Source organism: Homo sapiens, chromosome 4 (genome assembly GCF_000001405.40).
Source record: "Homo sapiens chromosome 4, GRCh38.p14 Primary Assembly".
In the NCBI taxonomy this organism is placed as follows: Eukaryota; Metazoa; Chordata; class Mammalia; order Primates; family Hominidae; genus Homo; species Homo sapiens.
The window spans coordinates 123,777,556-123,797,309 of record NC_000004.12 but is presented as its reverse complement, the minus strand read 5'-3'; the positions used below and the strand labels follow the sequence as shown (position 1 = coordinate 123,797,309).

Genomic DNA, 19,754 nt, shown 5'->3' with positions numbered 1-19,754 from the left:
AATGTGGGATTGTGTTAATCCTCCAAACATAAGAATAACTGTGTTCCTGAGCAAGAAGAGATATCTAAAAGTTTGGAAGACATATTTGAGGGAATACTTGAGGAAAACTTCCCTGGCCTCACTAGAAATCTAGACATCCAAATACAAGAAACTCAAAGAACACCTGGGAAATTTACCATAAAAAGATCATCACCCAGGCACATAGTCATCAGGTTATCTAAAGTCAAGACAAAGGAAAGGCTCTTAAGAGCTGTGAGGCAAAAGCATCAGGTAACCTCTAAAGGAAAACCTATCACATTAACATCAGATTTCTCAGCAGAAACCCTAAAATCCAGAAGGGATTAGGGTCCTATCTTCAGCCTTCTCAAGTGAAATAATTGCCAGCCAAGAATTGTGCCTCCAGCAAAACTAAACTTCACAAATGAAGGAGAGATAAAGTCTATTTCAGACAAACAGATGCTGAGAGAATTCACCACTACCAAGCCAGCACTACAAGAAATGCTAAAAGGAGTTCTAAATCTTGAAACAAAACCTAAAACACACCAAAATAGAACCTTCTTAAAGCATAAATCTCACAGGGCCTATAAAACAATAACAGAATGAAAAAAAAAAGGTATTCCATTCAGGCAATGACTAGCACAATGAATAAAACAGTACCTCACATCTGAATACTAACATTGAATGTAAATGGCCTAAATACTCCACTTAAAAGATACAGAATGGCAGAATAAATAACAATCCACCAACCAAGTATCTGCTGTCTTCAAGAGACTCACCTAATGCATAAGGACTCACATAAACTTAAGGTAAAGGGGTAGAAAAAGATATTCCATGCAATGGAAATCAAAAGCAAGTAGGAGTAGCTATTCTTATATCAGGCAAAACAGACTTTAAAGCAACAACAGTTTAAAAAAACAAAGAGGGATATTGTATAATGATAAAAGGATCAGCCCAGCAGGAAAATATCACAATCTTAAATAAATATGCACCTAACACAAGAGCTCCAAAATTTATAAAACAATTATTACAAGACCTAAGAAATGAGATAGACAGCAACACAATAGTGGAGGACTTCAGTACTCCACTGACAGCACTAGACAGGTCATCAAGAGAGAAAGTCAACAAAGAAACTGTGGACCTAAACTATACCCTAGAACAAATGGACTTAACAGATATTTGGAGAACATTCTACCCAATAACTGCAGAATATACATTCTTTTCATCAGCACATGGAATATTCTCTAAGATATATGATAGGCCACAAAATAAGTTTCAATAAATTTAAGAAAACTGAAATTATATCAAGTACCCTCTTAGGCCACAGTGGAATAAAATTGGAAATTAACTCCAGAAGGAACCCTCAGAACTATTCAAGTAGATGGAAATTAAATAATATGCTCCTGAACGATCTTTGGGTCAACCGTGAAATCAAGATGGAAATTAAATAATTCATTGAGTTTAACGATAATAGTGACATGACTTATCAAAACCTCTGTGACACAGCAAAAGTGTTACTAAGAGGAAAGTTCATAGCATTAAATGCCTACATCAAAAAGTCTGAAAGAGTGCAAATAGACAATCTAAGGTCACACCTCAAGGAACTAGAGAAAGAAGAACAAACCAAAACTAAAATCAGCAGAAAAAAAGAAATAAAGATCAGAGCAGAATTAAATAAAATTAAAAAATATATAAAATATAAATAAAACAAAAGACTTGTTTTTTGAAAAGATAAATAAAATTGATAGTACACTGGCAAGATTAACCAAGAAAAGAAAAGATACAAATAAGCTGAATTAGAACTGGAACAGGAGATACTATAACTGATACCACAGAAATATAAAAGATCATTCAAGCCTACTATGAACACCTTTACACACACAAACTAGAAAATTTACAGGGGATGGATACATTCCTGGAAATATATACCCTTTTAGATTAAATCAGGAAGAAACAGAAACTCTGATAGACCAATAACAAGTAGTGACATTGAAACAGAAATTTTTAAAATGCCAACAAAAAAAAGTCCAGGACCAGATGGATTCACAGCTGAATTCTATCAGGCATTCAGAGAATAATTGGTACCAATCTAACTGAAACCATCCCAAAAGATAGGGAAAGAAAGGATCCTCCCTATATCATTATATGAAGCCAGTATCATCATAATACCAAAAGCAGGAAAGAACATCACCAAAAACGAAAACTACAGACCAATATCTCTGATGAATATAGATGCAAACACTCTCAACAAAATACTAGCCAACCAAATCCAACAGCATATCAAAAAGATATGCTGATCAAGTGGGCTTCATGCCAGGGATGCAGGGATGGTTTAACAAACACAAGCCAATAAATGTAATACATCACAAAAACAAAATTAAAAACAAAAATCATATGATCATCTCAATAGATGCAGAAAAAGCATTTGACAAAATCCAACACCCCTTTATGATTAAAACCCTCAGAAGAATTGGCATAGAAGGGACACACCTCAATGTACTAAAAACCATCTGGCCGGGTGTGGTGGCTCATGACTGTAATCCCTGCACTTTGGGAGGCCAAGGCAGGTGAATCACGAGGTCAGGAGATCAAGACCATCCTGGCTAACACGGTGAAACCCCATCTCTACTAAAAATATAAAAACAAAATTAGCCAGGCATGGCGGTGGGCGCCTGTAGTCCCAGCTACTAGGGAGACTGAGGTGGAAGAATGGCATGAATCCAGGAGGCAGAGCTTGCAGTGAGCCGAGATCGTGCCGCTGCACTCCAGCCTGGGCGACAGAGCAAGACTCCATCTCAAAAAAACAAACAAACAAAAAAAATCTATGACAAACACACAGCCAACATAATACTGAACTGGGAAAAGTTGAAAGCATTCCCCCTGAGAACTGGAACAAGACAAGGATGCCCGCTTTTGCCTCCTCTATTCAACATAGCACTGGAAGGTCTAGCCAGAGCAATCAGACAGAAAAGAACTAAAGAAAATCCAAATCAATAAAGAGGAAGTTAAACTGTCACTGTTTGCCGATGATATGATTGTATACCTAGAAAACCCTAAAGACTCATCCAAAAAGCTCCTCGGTGTGAGAAATGAATTCAGTAAAGTTTCAGGATACAAAATCAATGTACACAAATCAGTAGTACTGCTCTACACCAAAAACGACCAAGGGCTGAGAAGCAAATAAAGAACTCAAAACCTTTTACAACAACTGCAAAAATAAAATAAAACACTTAGAAATATACCTAACCAAGAAGGTGAAAGATCTCTACGAGGAAGACAAAAAAACACTGCTGAAAGAAATCATAGATGACACAAACAAAGGGAAACACATCCCATGCTCATGGGTGGGTAGAATCAATATTGTCATAAATGTCATTAAAAATGACCATACTGCCAAAAGCAAGCTACAAATTCAATACAATTCCCAACAAAATACCACCATCATTCTTCATAGAACTAGAAAAAGATATCCTAAAATTCATATGGAACCAAAAAAAGAGCCTGCATAGCCAAAGCAAGACTAAGCAAAAAGAACAAATCTGGAGGCATCACAGTATCCAACATCAAACTATACTACAAGGCTATAGTTACCAAAACAGCATGATACTGGTATAAAAATAGGCATGTAGACCAGTGGAACAGAATACAGAACCCAGAAATAATGCCAAATACTTACAGCCAACTGATCTTTGACAAAGCAAACAAAAACATAAAGCAGTGAAAGGACGCCCTGTTCAACAAATAGTGCTGAGATAATTGGCAAGCCACATGGAGAGGAATGAAGCTGGATCTTCATCTCTTAGCTTATGTAAAAATCAGCTCAAGATGGATCAAAACCTTAAATAAAAGACCTGAAATTATAAAAATTCTAGAAGATAACATCAGAAAAACTCTCCTACACATTGCCTTAGGCAGAGTTCATGACAAAGAACCCGAAAGCAATTGTAACAAAAACAAAGATAAATAGATGGGACCTAATTAAATGAAAAAGCTTCTGCACAGCAAAAGAAAGAATCAGCAGAGTAAAGAGACAAGCCATAGAGTGGTAGAAAATGTTTGTGAACTATGCATCTAAGTACTAATATCCAGAATCTACAAGGAATTCAAACAGATCAGCAAGAAAAAAAATAATAATAATCCTATCAAAAGTGGGCAACGGATATTAACAGACAATTCTTAAAAGAAGATATCCCAACAGCCAACAAACATATGAAAAAATGCTCATTATCACTAATTATCAGGGAAATGCAAATCAAAAACACAATGAGACACCACCTTACTCCTGCAAGAATGACCATAAGTTAAAAATCAAAAAATAACAGATATTGGTGTGAATGTGGTGAAAAGGGGACACTTTTACACTGGTGGTGGGAATGTAAACTAGTACAGCCATTATGGAAAACAGTGTAGAGATTCCTTAAACAAGTAAAAGTGGAATTACTATTTGATCCACGAATCCCATTACTGGGTATCTGCCCAGAGGAAAAGAAGTCATTATATGAAAAAGCCAATTGCATACGTATGTTTATAGCAGCACAATTCGCAATTGCAAAAATATGGAACCATCCTAAATGCCCATCAACCAACCAGTGGATAAAGAAAATGTGGTATATACATACCATGTAATACTACTCAGCCATAAAAAGGAATGAAATAATGGCATTTGCAGCAACCTGGATGTAGACCATTATTCTAAGTGAAGCAACTCGGGAATGGAAAACCAAACATCGTATGTTCTCAATTATAAGCAGGAGCTAAGCTATGAGAATGTAAAGACATAAGAATGATAGAGTGGACTTTGGGAACTCAGGGGGAAGGGTGTAAGGGGGGTGAGAGATAAAAGACTATACTTTGGGTACAGTGGGCACTGCTCAGGTGATGGGTGCACCAAAATCTCAGAAATCACCACTAAAGAACTTTTCCATGCATCCAAAAACCACCTGTTCCCCCAAAACCATTGAAATAAAAATAAAATTTAAAAAAATTCATTCTAGGGTTATGTAATTATAGATTTATAAAGAAGGCTAGACATTTAATGAACTTAAAATAATTAGGAAATGAAAATAGTTTTTTTAAAATCTATTTGAAGTGGAAAACAATGATTTATAATAATTCCATGCCCACTAACTGCACCAGATCTACTAAGGTCAAGAATTCCAGGTACACAATGGTCAAAATATTTTTTTAATGTTTTTTGTCTTCCAAAAGTTTCTAGGAACAATATTACTTTTCAATTATTCAAGTCACCCTGGGGCCATTGAAATCAAACCAGTGTAAACACATAAATTTGAAAATTAATCCCTCTGCCTTTTCAAAATAGGGTACTGCACTGGTCTAGAAAGTAAGAGATTTCTGGAATTCCCAACTTGCAAGCAGGTATAAACCCTGAGAAATATTTTCTTCCTTGCTAAACCAGAAGAGATCCACCTGAAAAGAAATAATGTTTCGTTAGTTTTTTGTTTGTTTGTTTTGTTTTGTTTTGTTTAATTATGCTGTTGCAGTTGGGTCACCACCAATGGAATGTGCATTCTGAGCTGGTCATCAGTGATATTATTGATCTGTACCAGGACTAACTACTCCAACCTGGCTGCCTATATACCCTAATCCCCACTGGGCCAGCCAAACCTCACTCTCATTCTCCACTGAATTGTCCTTTGTCCCTTGCAAGTTGTTTATTCTCTGAAATGTCATATACTCCAAAATACCTTTCCTCATTTTTTCCAGTTCTTAAACTCTTAGTCTCATCCCATGCTTCTCTCAACCCCTCTCTCCTACCAGCAATTTCCTGTTTTGAACAAACCAACTAACTAAACTAATTTAATCTAAGAGCTAACATTTTAAATTGACTATTAATACAAATGACTTCATGAACTGATACAGCTTAAGGAATTATGGGAGTATAGGGGCTATCCCAATACCATTCTACATACCCTGTAGACCAAGTCCAGTCATTCTCCTATCACCACCAGGTCCTCCCCCTGGCCAACAGCAAATATTTAGGAGGTTAACTAAGACACAGAATGTAGTCAACTCTATGGGTCAGAGAAAAATTGTTGGTATTGTTATTAGACCTGGCATCAGGGTCACTTCAGTATTATGCTTCAGTTCCTTGCTACACAAGTTTGGTGCACAGACCAGCAGCATCAGCATCTCCTGGGAGCTTGTTAGATGTGCAGAATATCTGGGTGCCACCTCAGATCCATTAAATCTCCACGGATTTGCAGATGCAGTAAAGTTTGAGAAGCTGCTGTAATTTACAAAGCTAAACATCCCTAGCAAGTTTTTAACACATACTATGTGGTTGCAATAAATGTGTAAGTTGATATCCTGCTCTTTTTATTAGTAGGAAACATGGGGATATCTTCAGAGCACCTTTGGTCCTATCTGGTCCATATGAAGTAATGGAAGAAGAATGTTCTGGCAGCAGAAACCATGGAGGCTGGAGGCAAGCTTTGCTCTGTTACCCTCATCTGTTGGCAGCTGCTTTCAGACTGCAAAAGTGAACTTTCTGGTTTCAACCTTCACATCATGTTATAGTCATTAACAGCAGAACGATATCTGGACTCCACATAGGCACAGTATCAACACTTGGCTATGCATTATGATATAAACACAAAATCAAACCTAAGGGATGTTCCATATAATTGCTCCAAATGAAAAAAATGCCCAGGCACAATTCTTTACTGGGCATTTCTATTACAAAGATATATAGAAAGATCTTTTTCTCCATAGCAACAGTCCAATAATTTTTTCATGTTTATTTTATACTTTGGGATGTAAAAAAGAGGATAAAGGTGTAGAATGAATGTACTGGTGATACCTATAAGCCAGCCATATCACCTAGAATGAAAGAATTGTGACAATTGATAAGTAATCAAATTAAGTATCCTGTTTGGTTCGTGTCCACAGGAATGCAATTCATTAAATACTAGTGGGTATGTAGCCCCATGAAAGCTGGTGCCATGCCATCAGCCAGGGTTCTAGCCTTCTGGCTCATATTTGGTAACAAAGAAAGAGAATTTCTGTAATTCCAACAGCAAAACCTAGTGGAAAAATTGCAAGTTTTCTGCCTAAAACTCTCCCAGCCAACCTAAATACAGAATAGCATGCAGTATGTATTTCTGCATAATTTTTAAAGACCATAAAAGGTGTCATAATGGAGTTATAAGGGAGATCAAGAGAGATTTAAAATTATAACAAAACTCAACCATTGTGGAAGAGAATGTGGCAATTCCTCAAGGATCTAGAACCAGAAATACTATTTGACCCAGCAATCCCATTACTGGGTATATATCCAAAGGTTTATAAATCATTCTACTATAAAGACACATGTACACATATATTTACTGCAGCACTATTTACAATAGCAAAGACTTGGAACCAACCCAAATGCCCATCAATAATAGACTGGATAAAGAAAATGTGGCACATATACACCATGGAATACTATGCAGCCATAAAAAAGAATGAGTTCATGTCCTTTGCAGGGACATGGATGAAGCTGGAAGCCATCATTCTCAGCAAACTAACACAGGAACAGAAAACCAAACATCGCATGTTCTCACTCATAAGTAGGAGTTGAACTGTGAGAATACATGGACACAGGGAGGGGAACATCACACACCGGGGCTTGTCAGTGGGTGGGGGGCAAGGGGAGGGGGAGCATTAGGACAAATATCTAATGCATGCGGGGCTTAAAACCTACATGGCAGGTTGATAGGTGCAGCAAACCACCATGGCACACGTATACCTATGTAACAAACCTGCATGTTCGGCACATGCATCCCAGAACTTAAAGTAAAATAAAATAAAATAAAATAAAATGAAAAATTATAACAAAACACATTCTAGTCCAGCAAAAATAGTAGCCTGGTCAAGGCCACGTCATAATAAAATATTTTTCCATCATCCCCCATGTATTGAGCACCTTTTTTTCCTCTGGGTTTTCTCATTCAAAATGTGAATACTATATGTGGGATTTTTTTCAAAAATTTCCACATTGGCTTTTCCCCACTGGTTTTGGTGGCCTCGTTAAATTAAGAGAAAACAATTGTGGGAAACAAATAAGAATGTGTATCAACTTTCAACCTGTATATGTATCTATCAACCCATGCCTAAGTATCTATAGCTAACAATATCAAGAAAGGTGCACAGAAAAAAAATCAGACACCAGAGCCCATGAAAACTTGGTATATATAATGTTTGGTTTTCATAAAAATTTGTCTTTCTAATTCCCCTAACTCTAGCCCATAGTTACTTTTTCTATAGCTCTTATACTGGAATACATACCTTAGGTTACTATATGTGTTAAGACATTCACTGGGCAAGAATTATGTCTTTTAAATTTTTCCTACTGCATAAGTTAAGAGTTTGGTAAAGTGTACACAAAAGCAGTCAATGAGCACTCATTTTTGAAAGATGCATGAAACTCTTATAATTTTTTGAGGCATGAATTTAAAAGGAAGTTCTTTATATGAAGACAGAGGGTTAAGTGTGTGTAAAGGAGTAGAACTGCTATTGCTCAATGAACAGTATGACCAGCCCATCTAATTTAACTGTATTTATTTGTATAAAGGATACTGAAAGCAAATTCTTGGCCTGAGTTGCTTGAAGTCCTGGACCTTCAGGGCACCCATCAAGAGGGAAGAACTTGTCCTGCCCCTTATCCTTGTTGGCTTTGACCTAATCAGGGAAGGTGCTGACCCTCTCACTGGGCTTGCAGGCAAATTTCCACCTGTACTCATCATACACACTTGTCCACTACTCTGAAAATATGGAGAGAGATAGAGACAGAGAGAAAAAGAGAGCAGTAGATAGAGGGAATAGCCACTACCTCCCACACTACTTAGCAGTATAGTTTAAGAGACTTAGCTCAAGCTGTACTACCTTTGTTAATGCCATCAAGAAATGTCTATCTCAAGCTGCCTTTATCTTCATAGCTTTTTCCTTAACTACAATATCAATTTTTTGTTTTATTACGCATGCCAGTTGGGCTTGGTTTATTTAGCCTTCTCAGGAAAATGTACACTACAATACCACAGAACACACTGAACTTCCTAGTAAGTACTGTTCAATTCTGATGCTTCATTTTTCCTAATACGCTGTCTTATTCAGTTGCAAGAAAAGCAGTGGGTAGGGTAAACAATCTTTAACCACTTCTCTGAATTTTGAAAATGATTTTAAATTATTCCCTGCTAATTTGGGGGGAAAATTTTAAGTAAAGTACTAAAGAACTTCTAAAACTCACCCGGCAGTGAATTTTCAAAATAAGAGAATCACAGAGCCACTACCAACTTCACAGTAGATGTGTATAAGTTCTTCTCAGAAGGTTGACTACCTCTGGCATTGCTAAATCAGGAGGGGACAGCCCACAATTCTCCCTTTGGCAGCAAGCACCTACACACAGTCATCAGTACAAAAAAGGAAAAAATGAAAACATCCTCTGTTTTGCCAAAAGATTGTCTCAGTGTCTCCTCCATCCAGGGACCCCTACATCTTCTTGAGTCCAGGCCCCGCCTGTTTAATTCCTTAGTACTGGAGAATTCTTGCTAGCGTATAGCTTTTTCTAGGGACTTGACCTTTTCCTTTCTAACTAATGACACCCAACACCACCTTACTCTATGAATTCAGTGTCCTTCCTTTAGTCTGTCTAAAGCCAAACATACCCTCCAAGCCCTTTCTGCCAATTCATCCTCTTTGTTCTTTTTGTCTTAATCATTCCTGCTCTCCTGCTGCCCCAGAGCATCCGCATGCCATGAATTTGCACTCTATAAGAACTAGCTCTTCCCACACAAAAGACATTGCATGCTTTTCAGAATCAATCAGACACAAATTATTTAAAGAGTCCATGTAAATATACACTCCAATATTAATGGAAAAGTGGTGTCACTGCTAAGACTTCTCCAAAGACAAATTTGTAGTGAAAAGCTTTAAAAGGCGAGAATGAATGAAAAAGTTTTTACTATATTAGGCTCATCTGGCCACAAAGAGGTTGAAACTCAGCTGTGAAACAGGCCATCGGGTAGTGAACACTCCACTTTCTTTTCAAGTCCACTTCTGTGGCCACCAATGACCACATAATGCCTACAGAAGGTTAACCCATGTCACTGACTGAGATTGGCACCGAGCCCATTGTCTGCTCCACTTGCAAATACCTTCTTAAACAACCTTATATGAGCAGTTCTCTTCTCAGGCTACTCTAGCACAGCTGTGGCCAGCTGCACTCAGCCTTCAGCCCAGCCATGGATTATATACCAGATGATTCCTGTTCATTGAAAATACTGGAAACAACAAGGAATACATCACACTGCCGAGAAATTGGATCCACCCAGAGAGACCAAAGGAAAGCTATGACATTTGAGGAACAGGCAAACATTTCTCCTGCAAGCATTTACTGAAGCAGGTATATTAGGAGGAAACTAATCCATCAGATTCCCAGACACACATTTATTTTCTGGTTCCTTTGTTTTTAATTTTGTTTCTTTCTGGTTGAGTTCGGGAGGTGGGGGGAGTTTAGCAGAAGGAAAAACTCCTCATACTTTATCCAGTATGTTTTCTTTTCTTCTCTGTCCAAGACTATAAAAACAAGTTTGGATACTCCACCGGAATGCTGTCACAGTTCTGAATTTGGAAACTGATATTACCATGTCCGTAAAGGACAAAGAATGGAGGCTCCAAATGTTGTAATGAGTAACGCTTTTTAAAACTCAGAAAACTGACCAACATCTGAGAACTAACTTGATCCAGCCAAATATTTCTGGGTATAAGAAGAGGCAATGATAATTAGAATTGCTGCTTGTAGATAGGTAGTTTAAACTACACACAGTAGCTGGATGTCTTCAAGGTAAAAGCAACTGAAGAGCATTAGTGTTCAAGTATCATTAACCTCTCCAAAACGTTTCTTGGCAAACGGTTCTGAAGGCCTTCACTGAGTTTCTGTCATTCTTCCCCTCCTTCTGTTCTATGTCTTCCCACACTCAGTGAGTGGAACATTTGGATCATTTTTAAATTGTGTGAGGGAAGAGACCAAGAAAAAAAATAATTGAAGAACAGGGCAACTCTCTAGTAGTAATAAATATTTAACTTGAAAAATGCCTAAGAATAAATATCATCTATATAGGCACATACAAGACTGTGGCACTCCTCTTTTGTTCACATGTAGGATCTTAGAAAAAATAACCCCAATATTTTACTATGAAAGATTATAGGTACCTATGTTTTGATTCACTTTTTTCCAACGTACCTGACTTTAAAGTTTTCCTTTTCAAAGAGCCAAGTGAACTCCTGCATCTTGTCTCCCTTCTTGCTAATTATTTAAAGAGATGACTCCAACGCCATGTTTGAAAATGTAAGAACCTTTTATTACTAAGGGTCAATATTCAGAGCATGGCAACACAGTTTATTTCATGATACTTCTTAAAATTCTTTTCCCACTGACAAATTTGGCCCTTTCACAGAGGCAGGATCATTGAGTTTCTGGAAGGAAAACGCCTTGGGTTTGCCAAGAGTTTCCCCTACTGGGCTGATGACACCTCCTAAAACTACGGAGAGGAAAATGCTCTGCAGGTCAGGCAGCAGGAGTTGAGGTCCCAACTGTGTCTCAATTTGAAAGACTGAGTCAGGCACGCAGCTGCCAGGTGCCTGAGGAATCTGAATTGTTTTGCAACATTAAAGTCATTGTGAATGAGGGGAACTGGTCATGCTGAAATGATGCTACTGTTTCTGTGGAATTTTAGTGATGCCCAGAGCAAGTTGAAAATCCATTTGCCATTCCTTTTTTTCCTAATTCCATTCTTCACCTGCAATGTGTCTCAGGGCATTAGAAAGTGTTTTTGCTACTCAGAAACAAATTGGAAAGAATAGGTTTCATTGAAAACATGCTCAGACTGGATTTAAAATTATAGACTTGTAAGACTTGGGACAGAGAGAAAAGTGAAAGTTATCCGTGGCAGAAACTGTAATAGTTGTCACTAATTATTTTTTCATTTTCTATAGTAATAGAATCCCTGAACTTTAGTTGGGTATTTGAAATACTCTTATTTCCTAGCCATTTTGCACCTAGTTGTGACTATTTGTCTAAATTCTGGATGCACATTGAAGTAATACATGCAACCTATGCCAAATAACCTTAAAGGGAGAGAGTAGGCTCATCATCTTTCTTCTTCCTGCCACCTGGAAAGTGATGTGATGGCTAGAGCTGAAGCAGCCTTCTTGGACCTTGACGTTATCTTAAAAATAGAGGCCTTATGTAGTAAAACTCCAAGCAATGAGGCACCTAGATCCTTGAGGCTTTGCTCCACAAAGCCTTGATCACTTACATTGTATTTCTTTCCTCCAGGCATAAAATAAGAGAGAAATAAGTGATCTCATTTTAAATTTTAGTGTTACTTGCAACCAGCTCTTCTCCTAATATATCATCCAACACATTTTTTACATTGCCTTTGCTTGAAATGTTTCCAGATGTGGTTTGTTTTTGTTTTTGTTTTTCCAACTATCTCCAAAACTTTTAACTTAAAAAAAATCTACAGCTGCTACTGATATTAAAGCTTCCTGCATGTTTATTTCCAGGCAGAAGAAAACTAGGATGTTTTTTCCTCTCCCTTGTTTTGCCATTTACTCTCCTACCACATCCTATTTCACTTCTCTCACCCAGTGCATAGCCCCCTGGAGGTTTCAGCCACCTACAGAATGAATTTTTCAGCAAACAGTTACAACATGTACAAAAATGAAGGTTTATAAAGCTTGAGAGATCTTCGGAAACACTTTTTTAAGAACGGTCATTTTAGTATAGCAAAACCTCTGATCAATTAAGAGACAGGCACTAATAATACCTTCTATAATCAAACTCCCAGCCTCCAAACTTACCAGGAACTTTGTAAGGAAAAAAAAATCAACCTAAATGCCTGTACCAAAACTACCCCAAAAATGTTCACTAGTGTGAGAAGATACTACTGTGAAAAGTTATTGATGATCAAATAGTTTATTTATGTGCATCACACACACATACACATACACACACACACACACACACAAGAACACAAGTTTTAAAAGATCAGGAATAGTGTCTGGCACATGTATTTATTTAACAACTATTTGTAGAATGAATCAATGCAAAGCTTCCTGGGCTGCTATTTTTATTCATCTGCTTATGTTTCTTATCCTCCTTTTAAATCAGGATTAAGACAAGAGAGGAGAATGAGAAAGACTCAGAGGACAGGCATCAGGATAATTAAAGTAGAGAGGGCCACCTAATAAAGTACAGGATCTTCCATATTCTCCATTCAAAGGAACTCTATCAGACATGAAAATAGGCTGTCTCCCTCAGAATCACACACCCAGTTAGCAGCATTTGATTATTCTAAAAGAACTCTGCTTTGGTATTGTCATGCACTTGCTCTAAACCCTCCATACTTGGCAATAAGCCCACCACAGTACCATTATTTAATGGCAGAATAGTTGAAAAGAGTTTGGGTTTTGAAGTCAGGAAAAACTGGGTTCAAAGTTCCTTTAAGACTAGTTGAATAAGTGACTTTACCCCTCTTTTTTTTTCCTGTTAAACAGGGATGTTAACGTTAAGCACCTCACTGAATTATTGAAGGAATTAAATAAAACACTAGTATACTGTCTGGCTAGTATGCAAGTGTACAAATGGTGATGGTTATGGTAATGGTTACAAGTTCTCATGGTAGGTGGTCACAGGGCCCATCTGGGACCTCATTGGCTGAGGTCCTTGCATAGATAAATAAGCATGCATCAGGCCAACTCTCCAGGCCTGTGTTTCTCATCTGACAGCTAAGAGCTTAGACCAGGTCATTTCCAGGAACTTTCTGTTCAACTTTAAAGTTCGATTGGTGTGTTATGGATTCTTAAAATAATTGAGAAAAAAAAACATTAAACACACATTTATTTTTTTATTAATCAGAATTTAGGTGAAATAACACATTTGTGTTGGGTATTTCTCACTTGTGACTCACTTGTTGGATAGCTTTTTCCAGTCTAAGTATGTTAAACTTCATACTCACATTTATCAAATCATTGGGAATCCTGTGATTCATATAACTAACAGGAGGATTGAGAAAATCATTAAACAAATGCCAAAAGAATTTACGCAAAAGAATTGAGTTTGTTGTCTCACTTTTATGATTCCATGATTCTTGGAAATAGTTTTATAAATTTAACATATAATGCAATTCTCTTTTGTGAAAATCATTTTTACCTAAAATTTCTCACTATCTTTGTCAAACATATGAATCTATGAGCTGCATTAAATAAGTATATTCACTGAGATGTTAAATACATTTTTCTTTTAGGCAAAGTATAGGATATGCTAAAGACTTGTACATTAAGTTGTGATATTAATGGAAGGACAGACAGTGAACTGGATACATTTTGATTAAACTATGGCATACAGGAGTCTAAGTGACTTTTCTATCATCTATGCCAGGAAACATATCTACTAGGTTATTTTATTTTCTCCTTTGAAATATTCAGCATCCAACTTGCCCCCCAATTAAAAATGACTGAAATAGCATGGCCCACTTCTTGAAGAAGTCATGAATAAAACCCAAATCTCTGGAGTCTGTTGTCCTTGAAATACATAAAGGCTGAATGCTCAGAAGAAGTAGAAAAAAAATAGTTCTGAAACTCTTGGACAAATAAGAAGAGCCACTCTAAGCAGGGACTAAATTGGATTGGAATGTATGTTTGGATTATTCAGCCAAAGTAGATAATCAAGTATAACAAAACAAAAGCTTGATACCAAACTTGCGGGAAAATTTGTTTTGTCATCCTGAAACCTTCTCCGCTTTAAGCAAATCTTCCCCACCCAAAAGCAAATATCTTATCATACACCATGTTATTGGTCTTGGTCCACTGCACTGACCATAAAGGTAAGGAATCAGCCCACTATTTAGAGAAAATCCTGATTACATAAATTTAGTTTTCCAGTGGAGAAATTAGTCAATTTAAATGTATTTTACCTAAGTACATATCTACTAAATACTATATAATGTACTTGTCAAATTATTAGAAATCAGTAAGTCATGTTTCTATATGTTCAACACTGAGCCAGACACATTGAAAGACATAAAAGACAGCTCCCGTCATCATGATTACTGCCCAATTAATTAAGCAGTTGCTAATATTTGGAAACCTCAAGTCAAAAAGCTTAATAAAAATGCAATGATTTAATATGTCTACCAATTCCAATTCTCAAGTTCAATTGATTCAAATAATATAATTCTGAAACTAATTCATATGTTTGGAAGGACTCCAAGCCTTATTGTCACCACTCAAAATTTCTACCCCCATATAGAACAAGTTTTTCTTTCCTAGAATCATTCTTCCTGGAAGTAGTTTCCACTTCCAAGTTAAAACTGGATCTTTATCTTCACCCCTACTTTTCAAATCCCCCTCTTGATCTAGCTCTTGCCTCTCCCAACCTTCTGGTACATTCCTTAAGTCCTTCCTCCTCCTAAAGATCAGACTCTAGTGTCAAGGCAAAATTCTAACATCTTTAATGGTACAGGCCAACATTACAAAGTACATTGGCAAATGTAATTTATAACTTAGAATTTCATACACATTTCTTTTACATACACATGCATAAGCCTGCTTTCAAAATGCCAGACTTCAACATAGTATTGGGACTTCTGGCCAGGGCAATCAGGCAAGAGAAAGAAATAAAGGGTATTCAAATAGGAAGAGAGGAAGTCAAATTGTCTCTGTTTGCAGACGACATGATTGTATATTTAGAAAACCCCATTGTCTCAGCCCAAAATCTTCTTAAGCTGATAAGCAACTTCAGCAAAGTCTCAGGATACAAAATCAATGTGCGAAAATCATAAGCACTCCTATACACCAGTAATAGACAAACAGAGAGCCAAATCATAAGTGAACTCCCATTCACAATTGCTACAAAGAGAATAAAATGCGTAGGAATACAACTTACAAGGGAAGTGAAGGACCTCTTCAAGGAGAACTACAAACCACTGCTCAAGGAAATAAAAGAGGACACAAACAAATGGAAAACATTCCATGCTCATGGATAGGAAGAATCAATATTGTAAAAATGCCCATACTGCCCAAAGTAATTTATAGATTCAATGCTATTCCCATCAAGCTACTATTGACTTTCTTCACAGAACTAGAAAAAACTACTTTAAATTTCATATGGAGGCAAAAAGAGCCCATATAGCCAAGACAATCCTAAGCAAAAAGAATAAAGCTGGAGGCATCACACTACCTGACTTCAAACTATACAAGGCTATACTCTCTCAGAAGAGAGTGACTATAATATGCTTGATCTCCCCAAAGGAGACAACATGGAAAAGGACTTCAGTTGTACCAGGAGGAATTTAATTTAGAAAGCAAGATTTCCTGACATTGTGATTGAAGGTTCAAACAGGTTACAAAAATTGTTATGAAATCTCTTCTTAGAGGTCTCAAAAATATAACATTAACAGTTTTGAAATAAGACCTTGAATAGCAAATGCTGATTATTTTGATTAATCCTTTTTGAGAGAATAGTTGATCAATGGCTCTGGTAGCTAAGGGACTGGCAATGCAAAAACCAAACCAGCATGATACTGGTACCAAAACAGATATATAGACCAATGGAACAGAACCGAGGCCTCAGAAATAATACCACACATCTACAACCATCTGATCTTCGACAAACCTGACAAAAACAAGCAATGGGGAAAGGATTCCCTATTTAATAAATGGTGCTGGGAAAACTTGCTAGCCATATGCAGAAAACTGAAACTGGGCCCCTTTTTTATACCTTATACAAAAATTAACTCAAGTTGAATTAAATACTTAAGTGTAAAACCTAAAACCATAAAAACCCTAAAAGAAAACCTAGGCAATACCATTCAGGACATAAGCATGGGCAAAGACTTCAAGACTAAAAAAACAAAAGCAATTGCAACAAAAGCCAAAATTAACAAATGAGATCTAATTAAACTAAAGAGCTTCTGCACAGCAAATAAAACTATCATCGGAGTGAACAGGCAACCTACAGAATGGGAGAAAATTTTTGCAATCTACTCATCTGACAAAGGGCTAATATCCAGAATCTACAAGGAACTCAAACAAATTTACAAGAAAAAAAAATAAGCCCATCAAAAAGTGAGTGAAGGATATGAACAGACACTTCTCAAAAGAAGACATTTATGTGGCCAACAACATATGAGAAAAAGCTCATCATCACTGGTCATTAGGGAAATGCAAATCAAAACCAAATTGGGATACCATCTCACACCAGTTAGAATGGCGATCATTAAAAAGTCAGGAAACAACAGATGCTAGTGATGCTGTGAAGAAATAGGAACGCTTTTACACTGTTGGTGGGAGTGTAAATTAGTTCAATCATTGTGGAAGACAGTGTGGCGATTCCTCAAGGATCTAGAACTAGAAATACCATTTGACCCAGCAATCCTGGGTATATACCCAAAGGATTATATACCATTTTACTATAAAGACACATGCACACGTATGTTTACTGCAGCACTATTCACAATAGCAAAGACTCGGAAGCAACCCAAATGCACATCAATAATAGACTGGATAAAGATAATGTGGCATATATACACCACGAAATACTATGCAGCCATAAAAAAGAATGAGTTCATGTTCTTTGCAAGGACATGGATGAAGCTGGAAACCATCATTCTCAGCAAACTGACACAGGAACAGAAAACCAAACACCACATGTTCTCACTCCTAAGTGGGAGTTGAACAACGAGAACACATGGGCACAGGGAGGGGAACATCACCCATCGGGGCCTGTCGCGGGGTGGGGGGCAAGAAGAGGGAGAGCATTAGGACAAATACCTACTGTATGCAGGGCTTAAAACCTAGATGACGGATTGATGGGTGCAGCAAACCACCACAGCACATGTATACCTATGCAACAAACCTTCACCTGTATCCTAGCCCTTAAAAAATAATTTTAAAGAAAAGAATTTTTTAAACCAAAGCTTCTAACATGAGTTGGTTCCTCTCCCTTGTGGAAAGCATAGGCTTGGTAGTCAATGCTTTGCAGTAGTGAGTTCACCACCACAGACAATAAATCCTATCTGTAGTGAGGGACAAAAAAAGGTCTCATTCTCGGAGAAATACAGAGGTAAAAGAAAGAAAGTTAGGCCTAAGGGAAATTACTGTTGCTGGGTGTCCATAAAGCTTGGCTGCATCCCTCTCTTTTAATGCTTGCTTTGTTCAGAACTTCACTGGATTCTATGAGCCAATAAATTCCCTATTTTTCTTAAACTAGTTGAAGTTGGGTCTCAGTCACATGCAATTCAAGGAGTTCTAACTCATATAATTGCCCTCATTTTTTTCATACACCTATTCCCCTTTCACCAATTGCAAGCTTCTGGGATGCAGGTATATTAGGCTGTTCTTGCATTGCTACAAAAAATTCCTGAGACTGAGTAATTTATAAAGAAAAGAGGTTTAGTTGGCTCACGGTTCTGCAGGCTTTAGAGGAAGCATGGTGCTAGCATCTGCTCAGCTTCTAGGGAGGTCGCAGGAAGCTTACAATTATGGCGGAAGACAAAGGGGAAGCAGGCACATAGCGAGAACAGGAACAAGCAAGAGAGAGATTGGGGTGGGGGTGCCACACACTTTTAAATGAGCAGATCTTATAAGAACTCCCTATTCCAAAGACAGCAGCAAGCCATGAGGGATCTGCCCCCATGATCCAAACACCTCCCACCAGGCCCCAACTCCAGCATTGGGGATTACAATTCAACATGAGATTTGGGTGGGGGCAAATATCCAAACTATATCAACAGGGGACATTTTTTACTTATCCACAGTCCTTAACATGATTTGTGGCACAGAGTGGCCATGTAAATAAATAAGTGATAGAATGAATGAGTTGAGTGAATATGCCATGAATTAATGAACCTAGAATAATAACTCATTATTAAATTCAGCAGCAACCAATATCTCTACCCTATGACTGGTGTATTGTCACTAACAAGTCCTAAGGTAACGAATTTAAACACGTAGTCAATCTAAAATGGGAGATGTAATAGAAAACATATACAAAGATAAACATATAAACAAAATTAGCCATGGAAATAGCTACTTATCCTGTTTATTACTGATTAAATAACAGTTTATATTAGGTAAAGGAAAAATCAACACCCTTCTAAACTTACCACAATTTTAAACTTAGGGACCATCATGAAACCAAAGCCTATATTAACTAAAATTCCCTCTCTCTGTTTCTGTTTTTACAGGTATTTAAGTTTAATAATATCTACATTTTCACCCAGATCTTTATAGATGCAAGAATTATAATACCAATGAAAGCTTTAAATATGATACAAATGACCTTGTAAAGACATTTCATAAACTCGTTCATTTAAAAAAGTAACAAAATGTTTCTAACACAAGGATACATTTTTAAGAGAATAAATGGGTGTTTGAATGAAAATAGCATGGTTGATTTATATTCTTTTTCCACCAAAAAAATACAATTGGAGGTAAGAGTAAGCAGAGGTTCTCAATGCTGCAAGATGGCTAACAGTATATAAACCATCCACAATGAGCTATTCATCCCTTCAGTTCAATTTAAGAGAAAAATAAATAGGATTTTAGGCCTCCAACCTTTACAAGGACATACAGTGCTCTGAGAGTTCCACTTGGCTTCTGTCTTTGTCCAAATTATCTTACATTCCAGAATTCTAGAATCAGCCCACACCAGATGGATTTTTCAAGTTTATTTAGGTCTAAACTTGAAGCCC

At 37.1% G+C, this 19,754-nt stretch overlaps 1 long non-coding RNA gene across 2 annotated transcripts in view, besides 2 other annotated features; it reads right to left on the bottom strand.

Moving 5' to 3' along the window:
• The window catches only part of LINC01091 (long intergenic non-protein coding RNA 1091), a 280,788-nt gene that overhangs the window by 133,469 nt on the left and 127,565 nt on the right, over positions 1-19,754 (bottom strand). The gene's annotated exons all lie outside the window — the stretch shown is intronic.
• Positions 12,453-12,622: an enhancer, noted in NCBI's record as "experimental_72756 CRE fragment used in MPRA reporter constructs". NCBI's record gives its function as "activates a minimal promoter by MPRAs in K562 erythroleukemia cells, with activity observed for both the introgressed and non-introgressed 4:124705928 or rs17007390 variant alleles {active_cell/tissue: K562}" and the evidence as "EXISTENCE:reporter gene assay evidence [ECO:0000049][PMID:34662402]".
• Position 12,537: a transcriptional cis regulatory region, noted in NCBI's record as "Neanderthal adaptively introgressed variant 4:124705928 (GRCh37/hg19 assembly coordinates) or rs17007390 in the experimental_72756 CRE". NCBI's record gives its function as "modulates activity of the experimental_72756 enhancer by MPRAs in K562 erythroleukemia cells {active_cell/tissue: K562}" and the evidence as "EXISTENCE:reporter gene assay evidence [ECO:0000049][PMID:34662402]".